Source organism: Homo sapiens, chromosome 1, assembly GCF_000001405.40.
Source record: "Homo sapiens chromosome 1, GRCh38.p14 Primary Assembly".
NCBI classification, from domain to species: Eukaryota; Metazoa; Chordata; class Mammalia; order Primates; family Hominidae; genus Homo; species Homo sapiens.
This window is the reverse complement of record NC_000001.11, coordinates 200,994,341-201,008,019: the sequence shown is the minus strand read 5'-3', so window position 1 is coordinate 201,008,019 and position 13,679 is coordinate 200,994,341. Positions and strand designations below refer to the sequence as shown.

Sequence of the window (13,679 nt, the reverse complement as noted above, 5' to 3'; positions counted from 1 at the left end):
ACCACAACACAGCTACTCCCTCCTGGGCACACAGGTGGTGGCTTGCCCTGCAGGGTATCCTGCATTTTAGAATTTGGAGGTTTTCTTTGCCCCTCTGGACTTTCGCTTCTGATAAATGGACTGCCTATGTGTGTATGACTGTGTGTTTGTATCTGTGTGTGTGTGTCATCTGTCTGTATGTCTGTGTGTGGCTCTGTGTCTTGTGTGTCTATGTGTGTGTCTATGTGTCTGTGTGCGCATCTTTGTATGTGTGCATCTGTGTGAGTGCATCTGTGTATGTGTGTGTGTGTATGTGTGTCTATGTGTCTGTGTGCGCATCTGTCTGTGTGTGTCTGTGCGTGTGTCTATGTGTCTCTGTGTGCGCGTCTGTGTGTGTGTGTGTGTGCCTGTCTGTGTCTGTGTGTGTGTATCTCTGTGTGTGTCTCTGTGTCTATGTGTGTGTCTGTGTGTGTGTCTCTGTGTTTGTGTGTGGGTGTCTGTGTGTGTGTCTGTGTGTCTCTGTGTGTGTATGTCTGTGTCTGTCTCTGTGTGTGTGTCTATGTGTCTCTGTGTCTGTGTGTGTGTATGTTTGTGTGTCTCTGTGTCCGTGTCTGTGTATCTCTGTGTGTGTGGGTGTCTGCGTGTGTGTGTCTGTGTGTCTCTGTCTCTGTGTGTGTGTGTGTGTCTATGTGTCTCTGTGTCTGTGTGTGTGTCTGTGTGTCTCTGTGTCCGTGTCTGTGTATCTCTGTGTCTGTGTGTGGGTGTCTGCGTGTGTGTGTCTGTGTGTGTCTGTCTCTGTGTGTGTGTGTCTGTGTGTGTCTGTCTCTGTGTGTGTGTGTGTCTGTGTGTCTCTGTGTCTGTGTGTGTGTCTGTGTGTCTCTGTGTCCGTGTCTGTGTATCTCTGTGTCTGTGTGTGGGTGTCTGCGTGTGTGTGTCTGTGTGTGTCTGTCTCTGTGTGTGTGTGTCTGTGTGTGTCTGTGTGTGTGTGTGTCTATGTGTCTCTGTGTCTGTGTGTGTGTGTGTCTGTGTGTCTCTGTGTCCGTGTCTGTGTATCTCTGTGTCTGTGAGTGGGTGTCTGTGTGTGTGTGTCTGTGTGTGTCTGTCTCTGTGTGTGTGTGTCTGTGTGTGTCTGTCTCTGTGTGTGTGTGTCTATGTGTCTCTGTGTCTGTGTGTGTGTGTGTCTGTGTGTCTCTGTGTCTGTGTCTGTGTATCTCTGTGTCTTTATGTGGGTGTCTCTGTGTGTGTGTCTGTGTTCGTGTCTGTGTCTGTGTCCTGCTGCTTGTGATCTCAATAAGCTTCTCTCTCACATCTCTTTGTTTTTGTCCCTTCCCTATCCTGTTGCCATGGAGAAGCCCGGAAGAGCAGGTTCCTAGAAAATCAGTTCCATAGGGTGAACCACAAGAGGTCAAATGATAGTGTGTGTCTACCCCAACACAGACAGACAGACAGATATTGTAGGCCCCCATCTGCACCATCCTTTCCATCTCCTCTTCCCCATTCATGTGGGGTATTTCTGTCCCTTTAGGGCTGTCAAAGCCCCAGATGTCAGAGGGCTGCAGTCTCCCCCTTAGTCCCACAGCATTTTCTTGGCTGCTGCCCTAGCTGCCCCCATCCCTTATTCCACTCCCCAGCCCTAGTTCCCTGCCTGTTGAACATCCCAGCTCTTCAGCAGGTGACACTTTCCATGCCAGCAGTTCCAAACACAGGAATCTCCTTGGCTGAGACCACCTGAAATGGGGTGACTGCTCCTGGCCAGGCCCCCTCCCCACGATGGTCTCACCAGGCCCTCTCCAGGACACTAGGCCACAGTGGCGTGCTCTCCATGCCCACCCGCTGCCAAGCATAGGGCAAGGCACACAGGCGTGTTCCTCCCCTTCGAGAGCTTGTCGTCACCTCAGAGACAGTCAGGGCTAGGGCACAGCTCCCCTGGTCTCCACTGAGCTCTGTCTCTGCCCTGCCTCATCTGGAATCACATCCCCATCTACTCTTTCCAAGTCCAGGAATACGACAGGATCTTCTCAAATTGTGGCCACATCTTCCTTATCTCCTACATCTGGGACCCGTGTCCCTTTGTCCTCTTTTGGTCCTCAGCCCATGCTGGGACCGAGCTGCTGGCTGCTGGTTCCTTAGGGAATGAGGAACAGTGTGCAGCCTCCAGCTAGTTCTGCCCAGGGCCCAGCTGTCTCCTGCCCCTGTCCTGCAGAAAGGTCATGGGATTCAAAACCCAGAGGGGACCCACAGCCTCAGTTTCCACATCTGTAAAACAGATATGGTTTATAGGCATGTGGCAGCCACCTGGGGCCCCAGTGAATGCCCTATGAATTCAGCTGTTTCCTTCCTGCACAGCTCTACAACGAGGAGATCCTTGACCTGTTTGACAGCACCCGTGACCCTGACACCCGCCACCGCAGGTCCAACATCAAGATCCACGAGGACGCAAACGGTGGCATCTACACCACTGGCGTCACTTCTCGCCTCATCCACTCCCAGGAGGAGGTGAGCCTCTGCTGGAGGTCTGGAGCAGGTCCAGGGCATCCTGAAAGGGCAGGGGCTGGCACCACGGTAGTCCCAAGCCCTCACTTCTGCTTCTGTTTCCAGCTGATCCAGTGCCTGAAGCAGGGGGCCCTGTCCCGCACCACAGCCAGCACCCAGATGAACGTGCAGAGCTCACGCTCCCACGCCATCTTCACCATCCACCTGTGCCAGATGCGCATGTGCACCCAGCCCGACCTGGTGAGGAGCCTGCAGGGGGCCCAGGAGCCAGCTTGCTGCAGGGGTATCCCGGGAAGGGCAAGATGAGGAGCCACAGATTCAGAAATAGCAAACCAGATTGAGGCTGGCCTCTGCCATTTGTTGATTTTTATATTTTTCTTGAGCCTTGTTGCCCAATTTGTAAAATGGCTTAATGATCTCTGTATCGTGGTGTTGTGAGGATTAAATGGAAATCAGGCTTGTGCAAATACTGTGCACATTGTCAGATGCTCTGCATGTGCGAAGGGCAAGGCGCTTGGCCGTCCACCGTGCCTCTCCCGGATGGCAGTACTGTGATCAGGGGAGCCAGTGAGGTGGGCGAGGGCTGGGTGAGTCAGAGCTGACTTCTGCTGCAGGTGAATGAGGCGGTGACTGGGCTTCCTGATGGTACACCTCCCTCGAGTGAGTATGAGACACTCACTGCTAAGTTTCACTTTGTGGACCTGGCCGGCTCAGAGCGGCTGAAGCGGACAGGGGCTACTGGCGAGCGGGCCAAGGAGGGCATCTCCATCAACTGTGGCCTGGTAGGCACATGGTGGGTCATCAGCCCCAGCACCCACACAGCTCAGTCTCAGACCCCTCCAAGGCCCTGCAGTCCTACACCTGCTGAGTCCTCCTTGGACATCTTGCCAATTAGCCCTTCACTCTCAGGCGTCACCCCTGTCCCCAGCTTCCCCATTTCACCAACTTATCCATGTGCCTATAAACCCACCCAAGGAGCAAGAGGGCTGCTGGGGCCAAAGAGGCAGGTACAGATGGGTTGGGGATTTTCTTGTCCCTCCCTACCCTTCGCTCCCTGAGTGACTGCTGAGTGCCAGGGTCTGTCTCCCACAGCTGGCCTTGGGCAATGTGATCAGCGCCTTAGGGGACCAGAGCAAGAAGGTGGTGCACGTTCCCTACAGGGACTCCAAGCTCACTCGGCTCCTCCAGGATTCGCTGGGGGGCAACAGGTATCTGGTGACCAACACCCAGGGAAGGGACAGGGGAGGCAGGGAGGTTCCTGGAAAATAGTGCTGTGTGGGTATGGCGCAAGCCTGCCCCAGGAGGAGGAGGCCTTCCCATCCTAGGCTGCAGGTTTAGGAGGTAGGAACCTTGAGGTGCTTTATGACCTTCAGGCAGCTATGGCCAGACTCAGTTTCCTTATCAGTAAAACAGAGAGAGACATTCTAAGGGAAGTCATATGACCCAGACGAGATGATAGATGGGAAATGCTAGAAAATGCAGGGCTGTAACTCATCCTCATCACCAAGCAAAGGACTCTGGCAATTATGCATCACCACCTCCCCAGCCTTGGTAGCTGCCTTTACTATGGTTACCTGCTGTTGCAGTGAAAACTCCTGGCCAGATGGTCCAGCTCCCCACATCCCAGGTTCTGTCCTGAATGCCCACGTGCTTTGGGCATTAAGGTAGTGGGGGAATGGGATGGGAGCAGGACCTCTACCCTGAGGCAATGCTTCTGGGGGCTGGCTGTGTCCCTCACCCTCACAACAGCCTTTCTGCACCCCCAGCCAGACCATCATGATCGCCTGTGTGAGCCCCTCAGACCGAGATTTCATGGAGACCCTCAACACACTCAAATATGCCAATCGGGCCCGCAACATCAAGAACAAGGTGGTAGTGAACCAGGACAAGACCAGCCAGCAAATCAGTGCACTGCGGGCTGAGATTGCTCGGCTGCAGATGGAGCTGATGGAGTATAAGGCGGTGAGCATGCTCCTGGGCATTGCCCAGCACTCCCCTTGGAGCTAGTGCTCCATATGCACCCTCTGCCCTGCAGCCTCACCCTAACTTCCTCAGCATCCCTCCCACCTCCCTATTACCATCATCCACTTTGGACATGACTCTTGAGCATCAGTTGTGTGCCAGGCATGCTGCTTACTATTAGGGACTCACCCATGTGAATCAAGCATAGTCTGAGCCCTCAAGATTTTAGAATACTAAGTCCAAGAAAGAAGGGCTCCCCAGCTTTTGTTGCATAGATCTTGTGCACAGGGCAGACACTCTCCAGGGTGTTTTCATATCTGCTGAATGTGTTGTGTTGGAACAGGTAAGACTGCTAGACTGGCACAGAATCGTTGATAGAGGGGCCCACAGGAGTATCCAGTGTGCTGCAGAGGGGCAGAGGAGAGAGTTGGCCTTACTTGCATGGATGGTCAGAGAGGGCCTCATGGAAAAAGGGGCCTTTTATATGGATTTTGAAGAATGAATGAGGTAACAGCAAAATGAGATGGGACAGCCATTCTAGGTAAAGAACAAGCCATGCACAAAGGAACAGAGTGGGAAAAAATGGGTCCTTTGGGGTAAATGTCTAATTCTATGTGACTAAGACAGAAGTCACCAATTGGTAGCCCATGGCCCAAATCTGGCACATGGATGAGTTTAGGTTTGGCTTGCACTTGTTTTAAAAGAATACAACGTAGTTGTCAACCTTTCTGAAAATCAGGGAGTTTCAGTTTTGCTAGAAAATTTTCAAGATCTAACAACTCATGGTACCAAGTTGGCTGGAGAGGCATAGGGGCTGCCCCTTCTAGACTGAGTCTGGGACTCTCTTAGTTCCAGTCTCTACCACTCCCTATTGTCTTACAACCAGCCTGACTCATTTATGCCAACTGCCTGGCAGAGAGGGTTTTGACCCTTGGACTAGACTTTATGGAGATATGAAAATACACTGTGGAAAGTTAGGTCAAGTAAGATTGTGAGAGGCCTTCAGTGGCTGGTTACAAAATTTGGACTTTTTATTGTCAAGGAGAACTGTGTAAGGTTTTTGATCACTGGGGGCCAGTAGCTGTGTTTTAGGAAACCTGGGGCAGGGGAGACTGGTGATGCGCCATATCCAGGGGAAGGCCAGGGCGCTGGCAGAGGGAGGGGCATCATCAGCCCCTTACCCCCCCAACCGCGAGCTCTGCTGCCTGACTGCTCCCCTTTGCCCCTGCTCCCAGGGCAAGCGAGTGATAGGAGAGGATGGCGCTGAGGGCTATAGTGATCTGTTCCGAGAGAATGCCATGCTACAGAAGGAGAATGGGGCCCTGCGGCTGCGGGTGAAAGCCATGCAGGAGGCCATCGATGCCATCAACAACCGCGTCACCCAGCTCATGAGCCAGGAGGCCAACCTGCTGCTAGCCAAGGCCGGTGAGTTGGGCTGTGCCAGGCCAGGTCAGAGCACCAACGGGCTAGGACTCCCTCCCCCGACATCCACCCCAGAGTATCAGGTGGACTAAGCCAGCCAGTCAATTCATAGTTCAACTCATTTATGCATTTTTTTTCACTTGATTTTAAAACATTTTTGTATGGCACAAGTAATACATGAACACATCCTTCTTGTTCAACATGCAAACAATACATCACTATATGAAGTGAAAGATTAAAATCGCCTCTCCCTGAACCCTCCACCCCAAGCCCTCTCTACTTCTCAGAAGGAACCTCTATGAGCAGCTTGGTGTGTATTTTCCCACACCTTTCTCAGTATTTGTTTCAAGTATGAATATGTATTCATATACATTCTTAAATGTGTGTATGATATAGACTACTTTTTCTATGTATGAGATTATATATATTGCTCTAAGACTTCCCTTTTTCATTTAGCATTATGTTTTATAAATCTTTCCATATTAAACCTACTTCTGGTTCACGCCTGTAATCCCAGCACTTTGGGAGGCCACGGCAGGAGAATCACTTGAACCCAGGAGTTTGAGACCAGCCTGGGCAACATAGGGACGCCTAGTCTCTACAAAAAATACAAAAATTAGCCAGATGTGGTGGCACATGCCTGTAGTTCATGTTACTTGGGAGGCTGAGATGGAAGGATTGCCTGAGCCCGGGAGGCTGAGGCTGCAGTCAGCTGTGACTCTAGCCTGGGCGACAGAGCAAGACCTTGGCTCTAACCAAAAAATAAAAATTTAAAAAAACCTACTTCTCTTCATCTTCTGCCATGGTGTCCCATATGTGACAATGATGAATAAATTTATTATAGTAGCCTTCTAGTGATGGGCATTTAGGTTGTTTCCAGTTTCTTGCTATTGCCAACAGTGCTTGTATACCTCTGTGCAAAGTATTTTTTCTATAGATTTCTTTTTGGAAAAGGCCCATATGAGCTGCCCTATTAGAGGCACAGATATAAGAGCAGTAGTATCAGTGGTGTTGAAGACCCTTGCTGCTATTTATCTTTTTTTTTTTTTTTTTTCTGAGACGGAGTTTCGCTCTTGTTGCCCAGGCTGGAGTGCAATGGTGTGATCTTGGCTCACCGCAACCTCCACCTCCCAGGTTCAAGCGATTCTCCTGCCTCAGCGTCCCGAGTAGCTGGGATTAGAGGCATGCGCCACCACGCCCGGCTAATTTTGTATTTTTAGTAGAGACGGGGTTTCTCCATGTTGGTCAGGCTAGTCTCGAACTCCCAGCCTCAGGTGATCCGCCCGCCTTGGCCTCCCAAAGTGCTGGAATTATAGGTCTGAGCCACCGCGCTGGCCTATTTATCTTCTTTATCGCACCCTTCTTCCCGCCGTCCCACTCCAGGCGATGGCAATGAGGCCATTGGTGCGCTGATCCAGAACTACATCCGGGAGATCGAGGAGCTACGGTGAGTGAGTGAGCTCCGGCAGGTGTGCGCGGGCTGGGGGCCTCGGCCAGGTGACGCCAAGGGCTGTGGCAGCTCACTCGGCCCCGTCCACTCGTTCTTCCTGTGCAGGACTAAGCTTCTAGAGAGTGAAGCCATGAACGAGTCCCTGCGCCGCAGCCTCTCACGGGCCTCGGCTAGGAGCCCCTACTCCCTGGGTGCTTCTCCAGCCGCCCCGGCCTTCGGGGGCAGCCCTGCCAGCTCCATGGAGGATGCCTCGGAGGTGATCCGCAGGGCCAAGCAGGACCTGGAGCGGCTAAAGAAGAAGGAGGTCAGGCAGCGGAGGAAGAGGTGAGTGGAGTGTCGTCCCCGCCCCTGAGAGCCCTCAGACCGCCCCAGTGGACCCTGCCCGTCCCCAAGGAGGACTGCTGCCCACCAGTGTTTAGGAGGGAACCTCCACGCCCCCAGCCCCAGGGGCTGCCTCAGTATTGCTTGGGAATTCATGGCGCAGATTTGCTCAGCCTTTTGGGCAACCTCCCTCCCCCACGTTCTCCTATGCCATCTGCTTTCCCCCAAGGAGAGGAAGGACTGAGCTGAGCCAAGGTCAGCTCTGGGTGGCCCTAGGGAAGAGCAGTGGGGTTCTCTGCAGAGTAGGAGCCAGTGCTCTCCCCGGCCTCTGGTGAGAGCCTTCCTTTTCTGCCGCTGCCGCCGTCCTGCCCATGTGCTCAGGGCAGGGGCAGCCTTCCTAATCCAGCTTCCCTGTCCTCCCTGAGCAGCCCCGAGAAGGAAGCCTTCAAAAAGAGGGCAAAACTCCAACAGGAGAACAGCGAGGAGACGGATGAGAACGAGGCGGAGGAGGTGAGGAGCACGGGCCGCCCCACCTCACCACATGCATGCCTTGTGTCCCTGCTGGGGTTGGCGGGGGCCCCATCCGCATCCTTGTATGGAGTGAAGGAGGCGGTTGGGTCTGCATCCAGTTGATCCTTGTACTTCCTTATATCTCTGACTGGTTACCATGGTGATCTCCATCCCCTAGGACCCCACCTCATCCCAAACGGATGATGCAGGTGGGGAGGCCCTCCTAGAGGGGTTCTGCGGTGGTGTTGGGGGAGGCGGCACTCTTCCAGGAGTAGGGGGTGGGCAGGGGGGCTCAGCTGTGGCCTGCCCCAATCCCCACCCTCCTGACACACCTGAGGCATTGTGTCGGGATGCACCTCTGCTTCTGGGCTCCCCTCTCTGAGGCCAGGCCCACCCCAATGGTGCCTGGTGCCCAGGAGGAGGAAGAGCGAGACGAGAGTGGCTGTGAGGAGGAGGAAGGGCGCGAGGATGAAGATGAGGACTCGGGCAGTGAAGAGAGCCTGGTGGACTCAGACTCAGACCCCGAGGAGAAGGGTGCGTGGGCCTGAGCTGTGGGCTGTGGGGGATGCAATGCCTGGCTGCCAGTGCCCAAGTGTGGGGTCGGGCCCTGCTCAAAGATAATGGTGTCCAGGCCCCAGCACTCCCAGACGTGAAACCAATGACAACAGGCAGTCATGATGAGAATGATGGCAAACACTTCCTGGTCGTTCATTAGGTGCCAGGCACTGTGCTTACCTTAACCCTTTGAGCGGCTAGGTTCTTTCAGTCTTCACTGCAACTGTATGCATAGGGGTGGTGAGCTTCCCTATATCACCACAGAGGAACAAGCTCACAGGGGTTTAGTGACCTTCCCCAGTGTGGTCCATGCAGAGCAAACATGAATGTAGGCCTGACTGGTGCCAAAGCCCTCTCCTCTAAATGGAGATGCCTGCCCCTTCAGCCCTGCCTGCTGCCAGCCCTGGCCCTAGCCCTGTAAGTTGCTCTCAGCCATCTCACCCTCCTCCACTGAAGCTGGTCCCATGTCATCTGGAACAGGTGGATGCTGGCCTCGAATGGCTGGGAAGGACGTGTAGATCCCCCCTGCCAGCTCCTGAGCCCTACCTTGCCTTTCTGGAACTGCTCTTTAAATGTGTTCCTCCTTCTGGCCGCATTCTACCTGCATTAGGATTTATCATTTTGCCCAGTCTCTGGTCACTGATTGGTCATGGCTGACCAAAGGAGGGTCCCAGCTCCCCAGCACTGGCACATCTGCTCCCCAATTTGCCCCTCGCCCTAACGCTGGGCTGAGCCTGATTGTGCCCCCATAGAGGTGAACTTCCAGGCGGACCTGGCCGACCTGACTTGTGAGATCGAAATCAAGCAGAAGCTGATCGACGAGCTGGAGAACAGCCAGCGGCGGTTGCAGACGCTCAAGCACCAGTATGAGGAAAAGCTGATTCTGCTGCAGAACAAGATCCGAGACACACAGCTGGAGCGCGACCGTGTGCTGCAGAACCTCAGTGAGGCCACCGCCATGCCCCTCCACCCCATCCGGACCCTCCCTTTTCCCTGAGCCCCTCCTCTGTCAAAAGCAGCTGGTGTGTTGGGGTTATCCTGGCCTTCTAGGCAAGGGACTTCCCAACCTTTGACTGTGGTCCTTTGACCCACAGTTAAAGGTTCTTACGTCTAACCCTAGTTCCTATGAAACATTGTAAATTGATTTTTTTTCTTTGCTATCACGTCATGTATTAGAATTCTTTATATACCTAGGCACGCGAACATGACACTCCCAGCCTTTCCTCCTGCACTCAGTTCCTTGGGTCTTTTCCTTTGGACCTGTTTGTAACCGTTCTTACATTCTATCTTCATTATGCTGCTCTTCAGCCCATTCATTCCATTTTTTATTCATTCATTGATTTACTTATTCAGCAAACACATGTTGAATATGTCTTACAGAGCAGACATTGTTCTAGTGCTAGAGATATTGGAGTGGACAGAATCCCTGCTCTCGTGCAGCATACATTCTAGTGGGGAAAGACAAACATAAACGAAAGAGCAGAAACTATAGTGTGTCAAATGGTGATAAGTATAGCCAGGAAGGGGAACAGGAACTACTGAAGAGTGAGTTGGAGTTTTGTTTTGTTTTGTTTTGAGACAAAACAAATCAAAAATCTCTCTCTGTTGTCCAGGCTGGAGTGCAGTGGCGTGATCTCGGCTAACTGCAACCTCTGACCCCCGGTTCAATCGATTCTCCTGCCTCAGCCTCCTGAGTAGCTGGGACTACAAGCGCCCGCCACCACGCCCGGCTAATTTTTGTATTTTTAGTAGAGACAGGGTTTCACTATATTGGCCAGGCTGGTCTTGAACTCCTGACCTTGTGATCCGCCTTCCTTGGCCTCCCAAAGTGCTGGGATTACAGGCATGAGCCACCGTGCCTGGCCGAATTGGAGTTTTTTAAAGGATGGTCGTGAAGACTTCACTGAGCAAAGACTTGAAGGAGTTGATAGTGCTAGAGCAGCACCAACCAGGGGAAGAGCGTCCCAGACAGAGGGAACAGGAGATGCCAAGGCCATAAGGGTGCCATGTGCCTGGCATTTTGGCAGAACGATAAGGGGACCAGGATGGTTAGAGCACAGTGAGAGGGGACAGGTCGGAGAAGAAATGTCATTGTAAGGACATTGCCTTATACTCTGAGGGAGACGGGATGTGTGGAGTTTCAAGAGAGCTACGTGATACCAAATTTAAAAGCATTTTTAAAAGACTACTCTGGCTGCTGCATGGGGGAGTGAAAGTGGAAGCTGGAGACCACTTAGGAAACTGTTCTAAAGATCCCAGGAGAGGTGGCTTAGGAGGTGGTGAGAAGTCAGATTCTGGATATGTTTTTCAGGTTGAGCCAGAAGGCTTTGTTGATTGCTTGCTGGGAGGTAGATGTGAGGGAGAGGGGAGCCAAGGATGCCTCAGGGTGTGAGCTTCTGGAAGGAGCGTGATGCTGTGTACTGAGATGGGAGAGGGGTAGAAATGAGGAGTTGGGTTTTGTACCTGTTAAGTTGGAGATGTCTGTTGGTAGTTCTGGTAGGAGAGGCCAAGAGTGGAGAATCAGCTTATTCCTTCTGCCCTGGCCCACACCATTCTGTCTTCTCTTGCAAACTCTTCCCCTTCCCACAGGCCCCAGCTCTTTCCTCCAACACTGGATCATGGGTCAGAACCCAGCCAGCATGAGTGAGTTACAGGACCCTCGTGGGAAGTTGGGGACCAGGGGTTCAGAGATCTTAAGATGAAAACACCCCTGCCCATTACAATAGGATGTCAGAGCAGGAAGGGGCCTTGGGCATCAACTAGTCTGACCCCCTCATTCAAATGATGAAACAGGCTCAGAGAGGGGTGTGACTTGCCCAAGGTCATACAATGAGACTGGAACAGAGGGTTCCTGCGTTCCCCCTTGATGACCCTGTATTTAGTGGGAGCCCTTAGGGACCCAGCACCGACAGCTGCGTCTCCTTGCTCTCAGGCACCATGGAGTGCTATACTGAGGAGAAGGCCAACAAGATCAAGGCAGACTATGAGAAGAGGCTGCGGGAGATGAACCGGGACCTGCAGAAGCTGCAGGCCGCCCAGAAAGAGCACGCCCGGCTGCTTAAGAACCAGTCGCGCTACGAGAGGGAGCTGAAGAAGCTACAGGCCGAGGTGGCTGAGATGAAGAAGGCCAAGGTAGGGGCCGAGGGTGTGAGGAGTGGGGCCTGGAGTGCCTGTGACATCTTCTTAGAATCCACTCACCATCGTAAAAATAATCATTGCTGTCAAGTGTGGATTCTCTTCTCAACACACAGCATTAACCTAGTTTGACCCTGTCTTGGCCCTTGACACGGTCCTCTTAGCTGAGTGCATCGTCCAAGGTGAAACACCCTGCCCAGTAGTGGGGCCAGTGTGCGGGGATGCTGGGGTGCACAGGGGTCGTGTTCAGGGCAGGTGAGGATTTCAGGGGACCCCACTTGGTGCTGCCTCCTGTTGGGGAGGCTGCAGCATACTCGCTTCGGGTCTGCGCAAAGTGCACATGAGGCCTCTCATTTGGTGCAACCTGGCCCTGAGTGATAATAGTAACAGTTACCATCGTTTGAACATTTACTATGGCCAGGCTCCAGGCTAGTCATCTCACACGCATGATCACATTCAGTCCTTAGAAGAACCTCTTGAAAGAAGTCTATTATTATTCTTTTATGTATGAGAAAGTGAGGCTCAGAGAAGTTAATTCCAGCTTCCAAGAGGTAGCACTGGGATTTGAACTCAGTTCTCTGGCTCCCAAGCCACTGTGTGTTCCAGGTGGCACAATGCCTCCCTTTTCTACTTTGCCACCACTCAGAGTGCTCTAGTCTCTGGGGCCTGGGGCCTGCCCCTGTGCTTCTGACTTCAGGGCTCAAGTCTTGTGTTTCCAGTGTCTGGTGTGTTCTGGCTCCTGTCTGGGGCTCAGCAGATCCATGCTCCCTTTCAGTCCTCCCTCCCCTTGGACCTTCCAAGTCCTACATTCCTGCCTGCTCTGATCCTCAGCCCTCAGTGGAGCCCAGATCCCCACAGCCCTGGGCTAGGCCCTGGGCACTGGTGGCAGCCCCAGTAAGCTGTGAAGGGCTGGCCTTGGGGACAGAGACATAGGAAAGGGGAGCTCCCCAGTGCCTGGGGCTGATGGGGCATCTAGCAGCCATTGGTAGCTACATGCTCACAGCCGACTCAATGTGCAGAGGAGAGAGGCAATGCAGTGGTGGCTGATGTAGATTCTGAGAAGAGGTGGTGGACCCATAGCTGTCATTGAGGCCCAGCCACCTCACCTGGGCAGGCTCTGTGCCCAAGCCTGGGCTGCAGGTCCGGAGGCTTCATCAACCTGACTAGAGTGGAGAAGTCCCTGCCTTGCTGTGCTCAGACCTGCTTGGCCTGGGCTGGCCCCAAGGAGCCCTGTTTGCACCATCTCCTTCAGTGCGTTCACCCTGTGGGGTGTTGAGACTCAAGTGTGGACTCAAGTACCCAGATCACCCAAGGGCCCCTGCACCCACTGATGGTTTAGAGGGAGGGGCTGGTGGGCCTTCATTATCTCTGGGGTGGAGCAGCACTCCCAACAGGGGCCTGCACATGCTGTTGCAGCTTCTGGGGTGCGCTTATGTGCGTCCCCACTCTGTCTCCCTGGGAGTTCCCAGCTGATGCCATTGCAGGGTACCCCATCGTGTCCTGGCCAGCTCACATCTCAGCTGCGGAGGCCCTGGAGAGCCTCATGAGGGAAGATCCTTGTATGGCTCTGAAGCCTGGCAAATAATGTAACGCCAAGATGCATCTGACAGAAGGCTCATGTGTAGACCTGTGTTTCAGTCTCTGGATTGCTGAGCTCCTTCAGCCACGTGCCTGGCTCTGTCCACATTGACAGTGTTCTTATGAACCCAGAGCTAGAAGCAGAGAGGAACACCCTTGGGTCATCCCAGGAGGGGCCTAGGTTTTCTGTTGGAGGGACAGAAGGTGCAGCAGCCGAGGATTCAAATCAGACACTGTGAGAGCCAGTGCCCCAGAATCCTCCCATGGCTGTTCA

The 13,679-nt window shown here is 53.4% G+C and overlaps 1 protein-coding gene across 7 annotated transcripts in view, besides 1 other annotated feature; it reads left to right on the top strand.

Moving 5' to 3' along the window:
- The window catches only part of KIF21B (kinesin family member 21B), a 54,325-nt gene that overhangs the window by 15,695 nt on the left and 24,951 nt on the right, over positions 1–13,679 (top strand). For 4 of the 7 annotated variants that reach the window (NM_001252103.2, NM_017596.4, NM_001252102.2 and 1 more), the window contains exons 4-15: positions 2,326–2,475; positions 2,578–2,712; positions 3,087–3,254; positions 3,565–3,680; positions 4,239–4,434; positions 5,670–5,859; positions 7,240–7,303; positions 7,412–7,630; positions 8,056–8,137; positions 8,554–8,671; positions 9,445–9,636; positions 11,625–11,824. In NM_001252103.2, the coding sequence (NP_001239032.1) occupies positions 2,326–2,475; positions 2,578–2,712; positions 3,087–3,254; positions 3,565–3,680; positions 4,239–4,434; positions 5,670–5,859; positions 7,240–7,303; positions 7,412–7,630; positions 8,056–8,137; positions 8,554–8,671; positions 9,445–9,636; positions 11,625–11,824 (1,830 nt within the window). Of the gene's footprint in view, positions 1–2,325; positions 2,476–2,577; positions 2,713–3,086; positions 3,255–3,564; positions 3,681–4,238; positions 4,435–4,848; positions 4,942–5,669; positions 5,860–7,239; positions 7,304–7,411; positions 7,631–8,055; positions 8,138–8,525; positions 8,672–9,444; positions 9,637–11,624; positions 11,825–13,679 lie in introns of those variants that run through there. The other 3 variants (XM_017000731.2, XM_017000732.2, XM_047449818.1) reach the window with 3 other exon arrangements.
- Positions 7,418–7,918: an enhancer, noted in NCBI's record as "H3K4me1 hESC enhancer chr1:200969230-200969730 (GRCh37/hg19 assembly coordinates)". NCBI's record gives its function as "activates a minimal SCP1, AML or CMV promoter by ChIP-STARR-seq in naive H9 embryonic stem cells {active_cell/tissue: H9 hESC(naive)}" and the evidence as "EXISTENCE:reporter gene assay evidence [ECO:0000049][PMID:30033119]".